At 54.9% G+C, this 19,137-nt stretch overlaps 1 protein-coding gene across 8 annotated transcripts in view, besides 3 other annotated features; it reads left to right on the forward strand.

Moving 5' to 3' along the window:
* Nucleotides 1-19,137, forward strand: part of TSPAN18 (tetraspanin 18) — a 206,114-nt gene that overhangs the window by 182,826 nt on the left and 4,151 nt on the right. For all 8 annotated transcript variants that reach the window (XM_047427847.1, XM_011520459.4, XM_047427846.1 and 5 more), the window contains 5 exons: nt 570-764; nt 8,837-8,911; nt 10,079-10,177; nt 10,682-10,864; nt 17,539-17,622. In XM_047427847.1, the coding sequence (XP_047283803.1) occupies nt 570-764; nt 8,837-8,911; nt 10,079-10,177; nt 10,682-10,864; nt 17,539-17,622 (636 nt within the window). The remainder of the gene's footprint in view (nt 1-569; nt 765-8,836; nt 8,912-10,078; nt 10,178-10,681; nt 10,865-17,538; nt 17,623-19,137) is intronic.
* Nucleotides 1,872-2,728: an enhancer, noted in NCBI's record as "H3K4me1 hESC enhancer chr11:44932558-44933414 (GRCh37/hg19 assembly coordinates)". NCBI's record gives its function as "activates a minimal SCP1, AML or CMV promoter by ChIP-STARR-seq in naive H9 embryonic stem cells {active_cell/tissue: H9 hESC(naive)}" and the evidence as "EXISTENCE:reporter gene assay evidence [ECO:0000049][PMID:30033119]".
* Nucleotides 6,441-6,540: an enhancer, noted in NCBI's record as "active region_4664". NCBI's record gives its function as "activates an Ori minimal core promoter by ATAC-STARR-seq in GM12878 lymphoblastoid cells {active_cell/tissue: GM12878}" and the evidence as "EXISTENCE:reporter gene assay evidence [ECO:0000049][PMID:35858748]".
* Nucleotides 13,663-14,164: an enhancer, noted in NCBI's record as "H3K4me1 hESC enhancer chr11:44944349-44944850 (GRCh37/hg19 assembly coordinates)". NCBI's record gives its function as "activates a minimal SCP1, AML or CMV promoter by ChIP-STARR-seq in primed H9 embryonic stem cells {active_cell/tissue: H9 hESC(primed)}" and the evidence as "EXISTENCE:reporter gene assay evidence [ECO:0000049][PMID:30033119]".

The raw sequence follows: 19,137 nt of genomic DNA on the forward strand, positions 1-19,137 counted from the left end.
TCACTGAGAGTCCCATGGGGGACAATGACGATGACTTGGTCTGTGTCTTCCCAGCCCCTAGCATGGGTGGTGCAAACACAGCATAGGGCTGACTCAGAGCATGTTCATGGACCTTTGTTTAGGGTGTTGAGGCTGGAGTCAGGGGGCCTGCGACCAAACTCTGACTCTGCCATGAACTTGCTGTGTGACCTTCAGCAAGTTGTTGGTTCCCTCTGTATGGAATCAGAGGGTTGGACTAGATGACCTCCTAATCCTACAGGTCTGACATTTCAAGAGAAGATAAAATTGGCAAATAGCCTTTATGTGATACAGCCCGAGGTGGGGCTTGGGTCGGAAATTGGATTTAGAGGATGCGTGTTGCACTTAAGGTCACGGCAGCTAGAAAAATTAAAAGCAATTCAAGGTGCGGCTGGGACTCACTGGCTCTCGCCGCAGGTGAATTCCTGCCTGGCTCACCTAGTGCTTGATGCCTCTGACCCTGGGGCTGGCTCAGGGGAGTGGTGGGTCAGAAGTGCCTAACCTCCCTTTCTGCCTGTTTCTCCTCCCAACTCCTCCACTGGCCCGAGCAGCTGGGCGGGGCCTGCCTGCTGGCCATCGGCATCTGGGTCATGGTGGACCCCACCGGCTTCCGGGAGATCGTGGCTGCCAATCCTCTGCTCCTCACGGGCGCCTACATCCTCCTGGCCATGGGGGGCCTGCTCTTTCTGCTCGGCTTCCTGGGCTGCTGCGGGGCCGTCCGTGAGAACAAGTGTCTGCTGCTATTTGTGAGTACCCCAGCCCCCACCCCATCCATGGGTGCTCTGAGGGGTGTCAGGGATTGGCTGCAGACTCCCAGGCCCTGCCTGGCTTCCATTCAGACCAGTGCTTCCCAAACTGGGGCGGGCTGTCAAAGCAGAAGGGATCATGGAGATGAGCACGTCTGACCCCACTCATTTGGTAGTCAATGGTCCTGAAACCCTGAGACATTCAGCAACTTGCCCAGAGTCCCATGGAGTTGGCAGCAGAGGGGATGATACAGACGCTAGGTCAGGGCCCCTGCAGTGCCTCAGGCTGCCTCTTCCCATGCCTTTGGGACCTGTTTTCTCCCTGGGGTAGCCCTTCCTCTCTCCCACTTCATTTTGCTGCTTTCCTGCAGTCAATCCAGGACCCTTGGCTTAACACACACCTAGTCTGTGTCCGCATGCCAGGAAACTCAGAATAAGGTTTGTGCCACATAGGTCCACCTCCAGGGGTGGGGCGGTCCCCAGCCTTTTCCATCTGCCTTGGTGGCCCCAGCTTCCAGAGCCTGCTTTTGCAGTGGGCCCGTGCCTGCAGTGGGTGAGCTGGCCCAGATGGCGGGGGCCTTGGCATCCAGGTCTGAACAACCAGGTTTCTCCAAGGCATGGTCAGCTGAGAGCACTGACATTGACCTTGATGTTTTTCCACTTGCTTGCTATTAAAAACTCTAATATATAACTCCTTAGTAACATCGCTAAGATGCCTAGTGGATGAGGCCTTCCCCTTGTAGATATGCAATTCTGAAACGGTATGATATGGCCTCTGAAGGTTTCTTATTCATCAAGTAAGTAGCCCTTGAACTCCTATCATGCGCATGTAGTTCACTGGGTGCTGAAGATATGTCGGGGACCAGGAGTGATGGTCCCTTCCCTCACAGACAGGCACAGGGGAGGCAGCCGAGCCGTGCGGATGAGCTGGGCAGTGGGCAGGCCTGGTTTGAGGGTACTCCCTGCTCCATCCCCTAAGGGTGTGCCTCCCATCTAGTTCCCCAACCTCCCAGAGCAGCCATGTCTTCTTGTTAAACGAGGGGGCCGACCAGCTCAGCTATAGATCACAGCCAAACCAGACAAGCAGTGGGTCTTCTCGTTCTCGAGTCTCCTGGATTCCCATGGGTGGTGGCGCTTGGGGCCTCCGCCTGCTTTCCTGTGCTGGGTGGATGGGTCTTCTCTAAGAGGTCCTGGACTTGGAGAACTTCTGGGCTGAGCCCAGTCCCGCTACAGGGTAAGTTAAAAACAGCCCTGTTTAGAGAAGCGTGGGTGTGTCTGGGTAAGCTTGCGGATGCTCCTCATGGGCGAATTCGTGGGCGGAGTTAAATGACAGGGAGAACTGGGCTGGTTGGCTGGGGGGCTCCCTTGCAAGGTTCTGTAGATAAGCCAGCACCAGCAGTGCTGGGAGGAGAGACCTGGCACCATACCTCCTCCCCAGACGAGAGCACACTGCACGGCCCCATTTGTGTCCCGGTGAGATGCTCCCCATCCAAAGGAAGTGAAGTCAGCTGCGAAATGAGTGACAAGGAGCCTTGGGCCTATTTGTCCTTCAACAGCGCAAACACTGCAGACTTCATTTGAAGAGAAACAAAGAAAAACTTTGAGCGCCCCCTGGTGGACAATTCTCTACAGCTTGTCACGGTGCTCGCAGAAGTCTTGGCTGGGGAGCCCGAGGGGACTTTAAAAGGAGCTTGGATATGGGTCCCAGAACAGACCCAGCCTCCCTTTCCCCCTCCTCACCTCGGCCCCCAGGGACTCATTCATTGTTAATGGGCTCGGCTCTGAAGCCAAGACAGGAAGCCAGGCTGGTGTTCTTGGCTGGGAGCAGGCTGGAGCGGCTCTAGTCTCCTCCAGTAAGTGGCTGCCTGCAAACCTGCCAGCCGCCCCAGGACGTCCTCCCTCCCGTGCTATGCGAGGCAGGACTGAGGCCCAGGGGTAGGAGATGTGTCCACGATCCTCCCGAGAGAGGTGATCCTGGCTGCCAGGCTGGGGGCCCTTCGACAAGGCCTGATGGCAGATCCTTCCCCTTCCCCTCCCCACCCCCGCCTCTCTCCCTTTGTCCCCCTTCTTTCTGCCTATCTCTGTGTAGCTCCCTTTCCTCTCTGCCTCTGTCCTCCCCATCTCTGTCCTTTTTTTTTTCGAGACAGGGTCTCAGTCTGTGGCCCAAGCTGGTGTGCAGCAGTGTGATCTCAGCTCACTGCAGCCTCAACCTCCTAGCCTCAAGTGATCCTCCCACCTCAGCCCCCCGAGTAGCTGGGAACACAGGCACGTACTGTCACGCCCAGCTAATTTTTGTATTTTTTGTAGAAACAGGGTTTTACCATGTTGCTCAGGCTGGTCTTGAACTCCTGGGCTCAAATGATCCACCGCCTCGGCCTCTCAGAGTGTTGGGATTCCAGGCGGGCACCACACACTTGGCCTTGTCTTTCTCTTGATCTCTGTTTTTATTCCTACGCCCTTTCCTTGTCCCTGTCCTGATCTCTCCCTCCCCGTTTCCCTGTCTCTCTCTCCACTTCCCCTGCTTGCCCTCCCCTCTCTAGGGCCCCGCCCACACAAGCCTGAGGTCACAGTGTGGGTCAGAGGCAAAGGACGCTTGGATCAAGGTCTTCTGGCTCCCAGACCAGGGCTATCCACAGGCTCTGGATAGCCTGGAATGGACTCCAAAATTTACCTAAAATTATATGCAAAATGTTATGTTATGTCAGGTCCTGTGTATGTGTATTGTGTATACATGGATTGTGTGCATACTCATGTGTATGGGTACAGTGTGTATGTGCACGTGTGTTGTATGTGCATGTATGTTGTGTTCTATCGTGTGTGTTTGTGTGTACATGTGTGCATTGCTTTGTGCATATGTACACGTGCATGGGTGTTGTATGTGCATGGGTGTTATGCATGCATGGGTGTTATACGTGCATGGGCGTTACATGTGCATGGGTGTCATGTGTGCGTGGGTGCACATATATATGCATGTGCACATGTGCCTGTGTGTGCACATGTGTGTTGTGTGTGCATGTGTGTTGTGTGCATGGGGGTTGGGGGGGTTCTGTGAGTGTTTCCAGAGAAAGGCACCAAAGTTTCTGGAAGGTTTTCAAAAAGGTTTATGCCCTAAAAAATAAGAAAAACCACTTCTCCCTTCCCGGCTGAACCTGGACCTAACTGTGTGGTGGTTCCAACCGAAGAGGGCATGGAGCCTCACCCCTGGCAGCTTCTGGGATCCTTCTAGAAGCCTTTCACTGCTTTCTCAGCCTGTCAGAAAGGAGAGAAGGCTTGTCTTGAGAGGGGCCAAAAGAGTGACTTTAGTCAGCCCAGGAAACCTGGCTCAAAGGTTCACAAAGCAAGGAGGCCTTGAGATGGGGCTGACTGTCCCCTTCCCTCTGCTCTGAGACTGAAGTCCTACAGGACCTGGGGACAATCAGTCTAATGACCAGACCACCTAATGATCAATTTATCTATCTAAAGGTCCATTTCCCAAATACTCGTGTTGATCAGTATTACAGCACTCACATGCAATAGGACAATTTCAGCCTCCTATTGAAAATTTGTGGCATCCCTTTTTCTCATTTGCTTACCTTTGAGTATTTCAAGGATTTTTTTAAGCCAACTTATTTAAAAATTCTAATTTTAAAAATATTTTATAATGAAGGCAAGCTCAACTGGAAAAAAGAACAGCAAAAAGAGATGAGTATATTCAAAAAAGATAAATGAGCTGAATTGTACATGCAGTATGTAAATTTGGTAAATATTTATTAGAAATGGGAACTGTGAGCAGACATTGCCTATAAGCAGATGGGTTAGAAAAGCCTGGAAATGTTCCCAACTAGACAACATAGCAGTTTCCTCCCCTTTGCTAATTTTTCCATCCTAAGGAAAGTGATGCAAATTAGAGGATCAGGAATGGCTGACAAAGGTGTCCTTAGGCAAATGGGATGCAAACCCTGGGAAAGGCCTTGATGAGGGGAAGCCCCAGGAATGGCTGGGTCCAGGGGAATTCCCCAAAGGACTTTAACACTGGTAAACTGTCTTAAGCAGGAGGACATTTTCATGCTGGAGAAGGGCGAGTTGGCAGAGGTGGCATTGTGACTGCCATGGGCACCTCAGCCTTGCACTTTGGTTCACAGGATTCACACTCCCACATACTCAAGTCATGCCCAGGCCTTGGGCTTGGGGAGGCCCACTTCCTCCAGTCCACGGCTTCCCAGGTTTATTCTTATATCTCATCTCCTGATGCTTCAGCTCAATGGAAACTCCATGAAGATGGGGACTGAGTCTGCCTTGTATGCATTTATTTGCCAATACCTAGCACAGTGCCTGGCACAGAGCAGGTGCTCAGTAAACAGCCCCGGAGCCAAGGAACAGAGAGGAGGTGGTAGCAGAGGTTTGGCTAAGAGCATGGACTTTGGAGTCAGAAAAGCCCGGGCTCTAACTCCTGCTCTGTCATTTCCTGGCTGTATGACCTGGGGCTGGTCACTTAACCACTCTAAACCTTAGATTCCTCATATACAAAATGAGGATAATCATACTTCCTTCCCAGCCATAGTGTTGCATTCATGATCCAGTGGGAAATGCATGTTTTGCTTGGCTGTGTTTGTGGGATGCCTAAGCACTCTATAAATGGGAAACTAGAAGAATTGGTGCTGAGCCTCAGGAGGCTTTGCAGGCCATGTAGAAACCATAAGACCTCGGGGCTCCTGTGGCTTCCAGGGTAACATGGTGATGAGAGGCTGTGTTCTGCAATCAGAGTTCTTGGGGTGAAGTCCCAGAGGTACTGCCCACCAGCTATGCCAGCTTGGGCCGAGTACTGTTCCTCTCAGCCACAATCCGCTCTCAGTAAAATGGGGGTGTTGCTGATAATAGCATCTGTCTCACTAGATGAGAGGGCTTGATGAGATGATCCATGTAAGATCCGCAGTGTCTGGGTAGCAAGGACTCAGCAGGTAGCTATTGCTATTTTTCCAGAGCCGCCCACACCAGCACTTGTCTTCGGGAAGGATGTGCTTCCTCTGGGCTCTAAGTAACCATCTGAGCAGCTCTCATGTCATGCCGGTCTTGCGAGAAGCACCGCACCTGCATTACCTCGTGGAAGCCATGCGCAGTCATCCTGGATGGCACACACACATCCCAGAGTGACGGGCACACAGAGTACACGAGGCCTGTGATCTGCTTCGTCCATTATTTATCACTGTCCAGGCCGAGGCTGGTGGGCACGCCAGCTCCAGCTCATTGCCGTGGATGGAAACCATTTCTGAGGCTGCTCCTTGCCAGCCTGGGGACCTGCCAGTGGCTCCAGTGAGAGGGCAGAGGGTGGGGAGGGGCTCCTCATAGAGGACCCATGTAATGGAAGCGGATGGCCATCCATCACCAGCCAAATGGAAATGCCAGGACCCCTGCCAGCGGCCTCCGTCACTGTCACAGGGGAGGCGAGGCTGCAGAGGCAGAAAACACATCACTCAGCAGCCACTGAGCCCAGAGCCCCCCACCCTCCTGGAAATGAGAATTGTAGGAGTGGCAGAATGGACCATGGGCATTGTGACCTGGGGCACAGGAGGCTTCCCCCACCCCACCCTCATCATACTCTGCACTGGTTGGGGAACTCTGCTCCCTGACCTCAGCTGGAGGTCAGTCCCTTCTTCAGGAAGCACAGGAGCATCTGGCCTGGTGTCCCTCATCCAGATGTGCCAGCAGGCCACCCAGCAAACCTCAGCCAGGCAACCTGCTGACCTGTGGAGACAGACTCATGGGCTCAGAAGAGAGTGACAGAGCAATCCCTGAGCCTCGCCCTGCATCAGGGAGCAGACACAGCCTGGCGCTCTGAAAAGGCAGCTGGGCCAGGAGGGGAGTGTTCTTTCTGCAAAGCTCCAAAGAGCTCTGCACCTGTGGAGTAGTCACTTCCCTTCTCCAGCTTCAGCTTCCTCAACTTCGAAAAGGGGAAACTACACAAAAAAGAGACCGTGAGAACAGCGTCCGGTGCCCGGCGGTCCCCTGTGAGAGCAGAAGCCTGTGTCGGAGCAGCTGGAGCCCAGTGAGACCTCAGGGGCTCAGGAGCCCATGGTGCATCTGAGGGCTGAAGCAGACTTGATGTGGTGGCTGGGGACAGAAACCAGCCAGCAAAACGCAGGATTGAGGAGTGACACATCCCCGCCACGGGCTGGGCTGCTTTGCTGAAGCAAGGGGCTCTCTTTAGGTTTGGACACTTAAAAAACTAAAACCCACTTGCCAGGCCTCGGAGATGTTTTATGTCCGTGTGCTGAATGGACAGATTCTATACTCCTCCCGAGGCGCTCACTAAGGTGGACCCTGGCCCACACAGTTTGGAGAGGCCTCGGGACCTCTAGAAGGCAGCCGCTGTGGATGCTGAAGAATCAGGGAGGGAATTGGACTGGGGTCTCCCTGGGGTGGGGATAAAGTGACAGAAATCTTCCTCTGATCACAAGAGGCACATTCCAGGAGAGAGACGCCTGAAGGTATTGTCAGCAGCCCACAGAGCATCTGTGAGGAGGCCAGTGCATCACCAGGAGCCGGGCCTCGGAGGCCACAGAGGATCCTGCTCGTGGCCCACATTCACTCCCCTTCTGCACATGAGAGCCCAATGCCAAGCTCTGCTTGGCTCATTTCCAACAGGGGAAATGCTTTCACATGCCTCGTGATTCCCCACGGGGAATCCCCAGAAGTGGGTCTCCACATCCCCATTTTTCTGGCAAGAAAACTGAGGCTGGAAGGGGTTTGTATGAGTGGTTGTCCCATGACACACGAGGACAGACAAGGTGGGCCCTGAGGTGTCCTGACTTGAAGCCCAACACCCTTTGCCTCCTTCCAGCCTGGCACATCGGGGGCAGGCAGGCAGGCAGGCGGTCCTAACGACTGGGACCCCAGAGAGCAGGTCTGGCTGCTGCCTGGGTGCCTGGGAGGGCATGGAAGAACCAGTCTCTGTGTGTGCCAGAGATAAAGTCCTCTGCTGGTGGTTTCCAGATAGGGTGACAACGGACTTTGTCAAGGGCACCAGCTATGCTGAGTAATGAAGGCAAAGCCAGTTTCTTCTGCTGACAGCTCTCAGCCCAAAGGAAACCACACAATGACCAGGGCCGGTGATGTGGCAGATCACAGGGCCTTCATGGCGAGTGCTCCACCCCGGCTCATTCATCCATGTAAGAGTCCTGCACCAACACCTGTGCTGACCCAGGCATCCAAGCAGGCAGCGCGCTGAGTGACAGCCCCTGTGCTAAGGCCGTGCGGGCACCTCTGTTAGGCACTGTGGTGCGGGGGAGCCCAGGAGAGGGAGGGTTCTCCCTGCTTAGGGAAGTCAGGAAAGGCTTCTCACCAGGAGAGGGGCTGAGGCTTCACCTGATCTGGAGAAATGAGGAACTGGTGGGCAAGGAAGGGCAGTGCCTTCCTGGCAGAGGTAACAGAGCCTGTGAGGTCCCCGAAATGAGAGGCACTGTGGTTCATTCAGGGAACATCAAATTCAGTGAGTGGAGCAGAAGACTGTGTTAGATACCAAACTCCTGGCCCATGGGTTTTGAGATTTGGTAGTCATACCACCTTCCCTCCAATCTTATTCCTTGGGTTTTGGCTGAAGGTCTATGTGACCTCCCCACTTCCCATGGGAACCAGAGGCAGTGGGGCAGGGAGAGGTGGCCCTGGGGCTGGCAGGGTGGGGAAATCCAGCTGGGGATCCCCAAGGCACTCAGGATTCTCGCAGCCCGTACAACCTACCCAGAAGGAAATTTACCCAGAGTGGGCTCAAACGGGTTTCATCAGCGATCTCCTTCCAGGGTGGCTGAGTAGGGTTGTTCAGGTTGCACACTGTACGAGGGGCCTCTCTAAGGGTACCATTTGCATGGAAGGTATATATTTGTTTATTCTTTTCATATTTTGATCTCAATCCTGTTGACTCCAAGGAGGAATCACTGGTGTGTTTGTTATGAAAAATGTCTGATAGCAGTGGAGTGCCTTAATCTTACAAAATGAGTATACTGCGTCACTGGTGTGACAGATGGACGGATGCATTGGCCAGTGGCCGCCCCATCCCCTGCCTGCCCTCTGGGCTCACAAGGCTGTTCCTCTCCCTGCAGTTCTTCCTGTTCATCCTGATCATCTTCCTGGCAGAGCTCTCAGCAGCCATCCTGGCCTTCATCTTCAGGGAAAATGTACGTATCAGGCCCCAAGCTTTCCTGCCTCCTGCTATCAGCAAGGGGTTGGTGGCCATTCAGGTCTGGCTCCTCCCCTCCTTGAAGGGTCTCAGAGAGTGGGCAGCCTCTCATCTGGCACTTCCAGCCCAAGTCATGGCCCCACCCGCCTGGCAAGGCCCCGCAGACCAGGGAGAGACCCCAGTAAGCCTGTTCCTGCAAGGGCTTTTCTCTGCTCCCAAAGCATCTGGTACAACCCCATACCTTATTCTGGAAACATCCCTTCCAAACCTTGCCTAGTAACGGCCCAGTGATAGTGAGACAGTCAGAATAGTCGGAGAGGCTGGAATGTAGGAGCACAGGGCAGACTGCTCTCGGAGGAGGCCCTGGCTGGTATCCTCCTGGGTACCTTGGCCCCACAAGCCACCAAGTTCCAGAGGCCACAGGCAGCTGGAGTGCCAGCTGCCTCCCCTGAGTTGACCAGAGCCAGGCACCATAGCCAAAGGGAGACTGGGGCGGGGGGTTGGAGAAAGATGGGAGGGGAGGAGGGGCAATGGGGCAGGAGACACAAAATGGCCCTGGGGTAGAGGAGGCGGGCGGGGAGGGTAGCCAGCACGGAGCAGAGGAGGAGGCCACCACAGCCTGTGAGCAGACAATGGTGCCCAGATGGTCTCCTCTGCTGGGCACCACCCAGGGCCCTAGCCTTTGACTGCAGCAGGAGGGAAGGAGAATATTTTGGGAGTAGGAGAAACTGTGGAGGACTCCTCTGGAAACTGATGTACAAAGACTTCCTGCCCGGTCCTGTAGCTTCTTCAGGCCCTGGGACCCAGGGCATCTGCTTGGCTCTGTCTGGGGAACAGCTCAGGTGGAAGGGGTGGGGTGAGGTGCAAACTCCCCACCCAGATAAGCCCTCCCTCTGGGCAGAGCTGCAGGTGGAGTGAGGTCCTCAGCGTGCCCTGACCTCGGCTCCACCGAGATGTGCATGTGTATGGACTTCCTTTCTCCACTGGGGATAAGAAGACTGCCCCAAGTTGGTGGTTTAGGAGAATCCCAGGGGACCTGGCACCAGGATGCAGAGCCCCTAGCTCTCATTCCCCCAACTCCCAAGCAGGTGGATGGAGAGACGATGGAGGGTGGGGGCTGCACCCAACTGCCAGGCCTAAGCCCATCTTCTCCCTCTGCCCCCAGCTCACCCGAGAATTCTTCACCAAGGAGCTCACCAAGCACTACCAGGGCAATAACGACACAGACGTCTTCTCTGCCACCTGGAACTCGGTCATGATCACAGTGAGTGACGCCCCAGAGATGCTATGAACATTCAGAGCCACGATGCCCAGTGTTCACATGCCCACGCCAGGCATCAGTAATCAATCCAGGCACTCTCCCATTGATCACAGACCTGGCCTTGGAATCACCATCCACGCAGCATTCCAGGCAGCCATGCCACTTGATCACAGTCCCTACTCGGGATGAAACCTGTTTGCTCTCCCTGTCTTGGGTCCCCAAGCAATGGTCATTATGATGATGATAATAACCACAGCAACTGTTTATGGATGGCTAAGCGCCTGGTGAGGTAGGAATTGTTACTGCCACCTCTGTTATAGAGATGAGGACACTGAAGGCCCAGAGAAGCTGAGTGGCTTTCCCATGGTCACACAGTGGTGACAGGTGGAGCCCGCCCACACCCAGTCTTCTGATGCCACTCCTTTGCAGAGGCTGTATGTCCTTCTCTGTCCCCGCCCCTGTGTCCTCCTCCTGCCCACCAGAACCTTCTCTGGGATCTCCCCCTAGTTTGGTTGCTGCGGGGTCAACGGGCCTGAAGACTTTAAGTTTGCATCTGTGTTTCGACTCCTGACCCTGGATAGTGAAGAGGTGCCGGAGGCCTGCTGCCGGAGGGAACCCCAAAGTCGGGACGGGGTCCTGCTGAGCCGGGAGGAGTGCCTCCTGGGAAGGAGCCTATTCCTAAACAAGCAGGTACTGGCCCTGCTCTCCAGACAGGGGAGTGGGTCTATCGGGATTTGGGTGGCCAGAGCTGGGTGGGAGGCGCTATCACCCCAGAGGGTCTGAAGCTACCCCAGGAATCCCAGGGAAGTGTTGGCCATGATATGGGATGCCTGCACCTGAGCAGGGGCTGATGGAGGCTCTCTGTCCAAGCCCCTGAGATCCAACCAAAATGGGGAAGGATGACAGTGGCAGATGGTCTGCCGCTGGAGTGGGCATTCAGGCTGGGGCTAAGGGGTGAGTAGGAGTTTCCCGATGTTTCCTGAGTTTCTGATAATGCAGGTCCAAAGGGAGGGAGGGGGACAGAACCAGAATTGCACAGTGGGGGGCCCTTCTTAGCCATGCACTGTATTTTGGAGGAAGCTCTTATTTGCCATGTGGGGCACCCTAAGGGAGCAAGGTCTCCTTGACCTGACTCTCCAAGGTCAGAGAAGCTCCTAGACTTCAGGTTCTCTTGCAACCTGAGGACTTCCTCGCAGCCTTGGAAGAAACCCTTTCCCTTCCTGCACGTGCCATTTCTAGGGAAGACAAGCGCCTGGCTTTGTGTGCCTCCTGCCCACACACCCTTATGAGTTCACAATGCCCTTGCTCTTAATCCCCTTCTTCCCACTGACCAGCCCCCACTCTGCCAGTGTGGGTGTGTGACCAGGCTAGGCAGGAGGAGAGGGAGGGAGAGGACGAGGGTGATCTAAGCCTGGGCCCCAGCCCCCTTGCTTGAGTAGGACTTTAACGAGGGTCTCATGGAGAGTTCCAGATGCAAGAGACACAGCAGGGGACAGGAGACAAGGCCCCTGTTCCTGCGAGGCTCACGATCTCATTAGAGGACGCGCAAGATGAACAAGCAGCAAACTAATGAGAAGTAATCATTTCACATGGTCATGATTGCTGCGAAGAAATAAAACCAGATGAGGGGCTAGAATGGGCCTTGGGTGGGGGCTCAAGGCAGAACTTGCAAAGTCCCAGAGGAGGTGACAGTGAGCAGAGGCCTGGGTCCTGGGGCTCTGGCGGGCCCTTTCCAGCCTCAGCTCTGCCCCAGGAACTCAGCCCCTCTGGCCCTGGCACATCCCCATGGATTCCTGAGGCCCTGAGGGCCACGTTCTCTCTGTCCCTCATCACCCTGCCTTCCTGCATTGGGGGAAAGAGGCTCAATAGAGAAATGAGGGCCCTGAGTTGAGGCCACTGTGGACGTGGGGCAGAGAGACCTGCCGTGGGGAGCAGCTGCAGGGCGGGGAGGGGAGTTTCAGGCTTCCATGGCAGGCAGGGGTGGGCTGTTAACTGCTGTGTTGCCTTCGCCAAGACACCCTCGCTGGACCTCAGATTCCATATGTTGGCAGAGGCTGCTGGCTGCCCCCCACGATCCATTCACCCCTACTCTCTTGGGAAGGGAATGGTTATCACACCCCATGACCACCAGCTAGAGGCTGCACTTCCCAGCCTGCCTTGCAGCTAGACCATGTAACCGAGTTCTGGCTAACGGGAGGTGAGCAGAGGTGATTTGTGCAACTTGAGTCACATCCTTAAGAGAAAGTGCTGTGCCCACCCCTCCTTTTTTCTCTGGCTAGGACTTGGCAGAGGGAGGTGGCCCCTAGGATGGCAGAGCATCCAGAGAGAAGGAGCCTGGGCCACGTACAGTTCCATGGCATACAGCGGCCACCATAGCGTGGGGTTTATGTGAAAGACCAGTGAATTTGTAACTTGGTGAAGGAGCTGTTGTTTGAGATGCCCGTTGCCAACAGCCAAACTTAGAACCTTTTAATGCTACTTGTAAGTTTTCAGGAGGCTTCCCATGGGCCGCATTCCCCGCATCAGATGTGCTTCCCATTTCTGGACTCATCCTCCGTTAGGATGTCTCCTTTCCTCTCCTGGGCATGTCTTCAAAATCAGAGCTCATCAGAGAGGTCCCTGCACAGCCACATTCATTCTTTCCAGTGACTCTGTTGTTCCTGAGGGTCTGAGACTGGCTCCTGGGGTTTCTTTGCTGAGACATTCATGTCCCTCCTAGGCATTTCGTCCCGTTAAAAATCTGCTGCTGTGGAACTGTCTCTATTTGTCTTTTCCTCCAAAGCCCTCTTGCTTAAAGCCCAGGATGCATTTTTTTTTTTTTTTTTGAGACTGAGTCTCGCTCTGTCGCTCAGGCTGGAGTGCAATGGCACAATCCTGGCTCACTGCAACCTCCACCTCCAGGGTTCAAGTGTTTCTCCCACCTCAACCTCTCAAGTAGCTGGGACTACAGGCACATGCCACCATACCCAGCTAATTTTTGTATTTTTTGGTAGAGACCGGCATTTCACCATGTTGTCCAGGCTGGTCTCAAACTCCTGACCTCAAATGATCCACCCTCTTGGCCTCCCCAAGTGCTGGGATTACAGGCATGAACCACCATGTCCGGCCCTAGGATACATTTCTGACTTTGCTGGCAGGCCCATGGCAAGGATCTGGGAAGAGTTGAGTTCACTGTGGGGGTTGGGGTGGGGGTGAGGTGTGCAGGGATGCATGGCGTGGCCACAGGGACATCCTAGTTGCTCTGTGGCCCCCTGGTCCACATTGGTGGTGGACCTGGGTAGACAGGGGGCTTTTATACTGGTGCCAGTGAGAAAGGACAGCAGGTAAGACCAGGGTGATGGCGGTAAAGACAGAGAGGTGTGTGGATCTGAGAAATGTTCAGGAGGCAAAATCTACCAGCCTTCGTGATGGGTCCTCATTGGAGGAGGGGCAGGAGGAGGTGCTGAGTGACTGGCTTCTGGTTTGGGGACGATCTTGCATTCAGTCTGGGGCATGTTGCGTCTAAGAAACCTTTGGAGGCCAGGCACGTTGGCTCACGCCTGTAATCCCAACACTTTGGGAGGCCGAGGCGGGCGGATCACCTGATGTCAGGAGTTCGAGACCAGCCCAGCCAACACGGAGAAACCCCGTCTCTACTAAAAATACAAAAATTAGCCTGGCGTGGTGGCATGTGCCTATAATCCCAGCTACTTGGGAGGCTGAGGCAGGAGAATCACTTGAACCCGGGAGGCGGAGGTTGCGGTGAGCTGAGGTCATGCCACTGTGCTTCAGCCTGGGCAGCACAGTGAGACTCCATCTCAAAAAAAAGAAAAAAAGAAGCCTTTGGAACAGCTGAGCAGAGGTGTCCAGTGGGCAGCTGGGTGTATGGGGTGGAGCTGGAGGGGTCGGTGCTGGAGATGTACGTGTGGGAAGCATTGCGTGTGGGTGACCCATTGTGGTGGCAACCAGGCCTGGCTGCCCCTCATCAGATTAGGTGGGTGGTGACTGTGGGTGGCAGCAGGGGGTGGGGGATGTGCCCACCCAGCAGAGAGGGAGGATGGCACTGGCAACAGCCCACATGGTTAGAAGACTCATAGTCTGTGGTGGCAGGCTGGGGAGAGGCTCCCCGCCATGTGTCTCACCGGGTGGTGACAGGGGAAACCGTCACGGGGTGGAGATGGTGGGTGGTGGTGAAGCAATCTCCAGGTGTGTAGATGTAAGCTCTGGGCTACAGCCAGGGCCTGGCCCATAGGAGGGAGAACCCAGCCGCTCATGCCAGCCCCCTTTCCCTTAAGCACAGAGGAAAGACCGGGAATTTGGAATCCTCAGTGTAAATCCTGGCTTCCCTTCCTCGTGTGTGATCTTAAACAAGTTAGCCACTGCTCCTCCCTCCCTTTTCTTGTGGGTAAAATGCAGGTAAGACCCCTCCTCCCCGAGGGCTGTAATGAGATCAAGTGAGAAAGAGCCCACGAGGCCCTAGCAAAGTTATCAAGAGAGCAGACACTCATTCAGAGTGGGTGGTGGCATCCTGTCCATGCCCCAACCTCCCCAGGGGTGTCTCTGTTCCTGGGAAGCTTCCATTGGGCAACCTGGGCTGCTTGGTTGAGTCCAGGGGCCTGAAGGGTCTTTGGTGCCAAAGCCTGATAGGGGAAGATGAGCTGTCAAGGCCCAGGTGCCACACAGCAGGGCTCAGCTTCCCTCTGCTGGACAAGGTCCCCGGCTTCTTGCCAGTTTCCCCGGGTGAGGCATGTCAAAGTCAATTTCATGCTCTGGAAGAGATGTGCTGCTTCTCCTGTCCCCTTCTGGGGTTGTGTGTGTGTGTGTGTGTGTGTGTGTGTGTGTGATTATATTGCAGTGACACCCAACTCTATGCTCAGACACTTTCCACCACTCAGGATATGCTAAGAGAGCGGCACAGAGAGACGGACGGTAATCCTTGGTAATCCTAACAGGCATTGAGATTGAGAGCTTGCTACTTGCCAACACTCTTCCTAGTGCCTTACCTTCAGTATCTCATTTTATCCTCACAGCAATCCCATGAGGTAATCTACATGGCCCCATTGTACAGATGGGGCAACTGAGGCATAGGGAGAGGAAGTAAATAGCCCAAGGTCGCACAGCAAGCCAGTGGCAGCGCTGGCTGGGACCCTAGGCAACCAGGCCCTAAGGACCATTGCCAGATACCACTCTCCTGGGCCATTGCTGTTCCCTGTCCGGGAAACCCCTCAAAGAGTTCACAAACCCAGTGTGTGTGTTGGGGCTGCAGGAGGTGGGATTATGTCCCTGTGGCTGGCAGGCACGTGGAACACTGAGGGGATGATGGGAGGGCCGAGGCATCCCCTGCCAGGGCTGATCCCAAAACTATACAACTCACCTCTCTTTCCTTGCTCGCAGAGCAGGTTAGTTTTTCTGCTGTTATAGTTCTGCATTTTAGGGTTCTAATGCTTCAAAATCGCTTCACATGGGAGGGGGGAGGGATAGCATTAGGAGATATACCTAATGTAAATGACGAGTTAATGGGTGCAGCACACCAACATGGCACATGGATACATATGTAACAAACCTGCACGTTGTGCACATGTACCCTAGAACTTAAAGTATAATTTTTAAAAAACTCGCTTAACAAAGGATTTGGGGCTCCAACATGGGTCTGCTGGCAGATCCAGGATGGACCCTGGGCCTCACTGAATGGAGGGCCAGCCCTGAACGGACCCCCAGCCACACTGATGTCCTGGCCTGGCCTGGCCTGGGGTAGGAACCCCTGGGTTGCCCTTAGGGCTCCATCCCAGTCATACAGCCCTTAACTGGGCTCCCAGTGCCACAGCAGAGACAAGGCCTGAAGGTTCAATTAAGACCTTTTCTCCTTGTCATCTCTGGGCTTGAGGTCTTTCAAAGCCTGGCCACAGCCTGATCACTAGAAATTACCTTGGGTATCGTCCTATAATGCTGATACCTGGGCTCCACACCAGACCCACTGATCCAGTGTTGTGGGGCGAGGTCTTGGCATCTGCATTGCCAACCACTTCCCCGATTATTCCCATGCACACTCAGTCCTGAGAGTATCATGGACCCAGATCGTCGTGCCGGTGGGGTCTGTTTCTATCTGGGTATGTCCTGTTTGCTCCATGGGGCTCCAGGGAGGGCTTCTGGGGGACTTCCCTGCCCAGCTCCTGGTCAGCCTCCAGGCAGGTACTAGGACACCACCTGGCCACTAGTCCCAGATCAGGCCCTGCTGTCCACCTGCCTGGGTGCAGCCTCAGTCCTACTTTTGGCCAAAGGGGCTGGGCTTCTGCACGATGGACAAGAGAAGTGAGCATGTCAGCACCCAAGAATCCCCGGTCTCAACAGAGCCCAGAAATAGCAACCGTCACCCAAAAAGGGCTGGGCATGATCTCTCCACCCCCATCTGGGGATTTGTTCCCTTGCAGGTTCTCAGCCTGGGCCCAAAGAATATGCAGGCTCCTATAAAGGAAGGAAAGTTCTCCCACTTTGAAAATACGTGTCATTCAAAGCAAGTACCATGCATCAGTCTCTGTGGTCAGCATGGGGGAGGGGAGAGTTATGAACATGAAAATGACAGAGGTGTGAGGTGCTTGGGGTCAGAGGGGGCAGCAGCCATGGACTGGCAGCTCCTGGCTTGGCACTAGCTTGCTTTTTCCTATCTCTATCTATCTATCTCGATCTCGATCTCGATCTCTGTCTCTGTCTCAGTTTATGTATCTCTAGGATTGCTTAAGAAAGCAGTAAGATCATGGGAATTAAGTCCAGGGCCTGTGGACTGGGCTGGTTCAGAAAGCTGCCCGAAGGAGGTGGCATGCGAGCAGGGATTTGAAGGCTGGGCTGTGTTTCCTTGGGGAAGTGGCCGAAAACCAAAACACCTTCTGCAGCCAGGCAGGTCACGAGGAACAGTAGAGCGAGTGGGTGTGAAACAATAGGGAATTGTGCGGGGGAGAGGGGTGGAGTGCTGTGGATCCCCAGGGACCACCTGTTGGCACCCGAAGGCAGCAGCTGCTGATGTGAAAAGGAATAGCTCCCCTTGCTGGTTCTTCTGATTTCTCCAGAGCAGCAGGAAGTCCAAATATTTATGGGAAATTTCCCAATATTCCAATCACTGTAGTTGCAACATTAGACATGGCCTGCACGCTGTCAGTTCTCTGTCCCACCTTAGGGGCCGGGTGGCAAAGAGGGTCTTTGGTGCAATGCTGCCAAGTCGCTGTTTCTGGGTCTCCTGCCCTGCACCCCCTCCCCACTGTCCTGTCTCAGCAGCCGTGTGATAGGGTGAGAGCTCTGGGGACACCTGCCATGAACCCTAGTCCACATGCTGGACTCTGACTCCAGGACTCTCAACCCTGGCCATAGCTTGACCTCTCATCCCTCCCTCCCAGGGCTGTTACACGGTGATCCTCAACACCTTCGAGACCTACGTCTACTTGGCCGGAGCCCTTGCCATCGGGGTACTGGCCATCGAGGTAAGTAAAGGCCCCCACTTCTGCCGCTCCCCAGGATGAAGCCTCACGTGGAGCCTAGGCAGATCCCCCCAGCCTCCTTTCCTCTTCATTTCCTTCACCTGGGACCCAAGGGGCCCCCACTGTGGGTGCTATGGGGTGGTAAGCCCGGCTGTGTCTGTGCTGCCTGAGAGTCATTCTTGAACTCTGGAGATGAAACATGGGAGCCAGTGTCCCAGAAATGGGGATGGGCAGGCCCTGAGTGTCATCCCCACTCCCTCTCACTCTTCCATCCTCATCCCCACCTCCGCCCCAGCTCCATGGTCCAGAGAGATTTCACGCTTGCAGAGGCATCAGCACGGCTGCCTTGAAGGACAGGCTGCAGCCCGTGGTTTGAGATCAGGCCTTTTCTCTGTGGGGTGTTCAGGGCCTACAGGGCCTTATTCATCCACAACGGTGGCCTTAGCCTCCTTTATCTGAGGGCCCCAGAGTCCCCTTGAAAGGTAAGCTCCTGCAGACCGTTTGCAATCACCACTAGGTGGCGCCTCAGCCAAAGGGAGGAGCGGCCGCCTCCCGTTTCTGTCCTCTGGGATCTCCATCATCTGGGATCTCCGACTTGCTGCTCCTGGGGGCTGGACAGAGCGTTGCCCACATCTGACCAAACCCAGGAAGGGGCACTCTGGGGCCTCAGTCAGTCCTCGGCCTGCGGGGGAAGGAAGTCAGGCAGCCCAATCCTCAGCTTCCCCCTCCAGCAGCCTGGGCACCTGGCACCATGAACTTCGCCTTGCCTGGTTTCCCACTGTGCCTGCAGCGCCACGGAGTGCAGTTTCGTGGAGGCTACTGCAGATGGCGGAGAGGGAGGGGTCATTGATTATTCATTCATGTATTCAACAAGCACACACTGAGCCCTATTCTTCGCCAGCACTGTTATAGTTGAACAAGTCCCCTCATGGAGGGCAACAATGAACAAGATAAATCCGCAGCAAGCCCAGGGAAATCTCAGGGACGTGTCCCATGAAGGAATAGCATGGGCCCTAGAGTCCGGCTCCCAGCTCTGCCTCTCTCCAAATGCAGGATGTCTAAGTCACAGTTTCTTCATCTGCAAAATGGGCTGATCACCCTGCTCCCAGGGCACAGAGGGATTACAGATGACGGGGACAGCATGCTACTGGGGCTCAGGAAGCAGCATTCATATACTTGATCTGCTGCCTCACTCCCAGCCCAGCCCATGAGCCTGGCTGGCCAGCCCCATGGGAGGCAGAATCCTGCTCAAGACGGAGACCTTTACATGGCCCCGTCCCGGTAGCCCCTCCCCACCCCAGTGAGCCTCCTGGTGATTTGGCCATGACCTGTGGTCTAGGGACTGTTCCCTCAGCTACTTGCAATGAGCTCTGGCCGTGAGAACATCAGCAAATCTGGTCAGAGTCCCTGAGCTAGGGTCTCCCTGCCCCACCACCCCAGGCCCTCAGACAGGTGTTCAGGGATGGAGCTCATAACTCCGGGAAGGGCTGCAGCTGCCTGCCTATTCATAGCAGTCCT

Source organism: Homo sapiens, chromosome 11 (genome assembly GCF_000001405.40).
Source record: "Homo sapiens chromosome 11, GRCh38.p14 Primary Assembly".
NCBI lineage: Eukaryota > Metazoa > Chordata > Mammalia > Primates > Hominidae > Homo > Homo sapiens.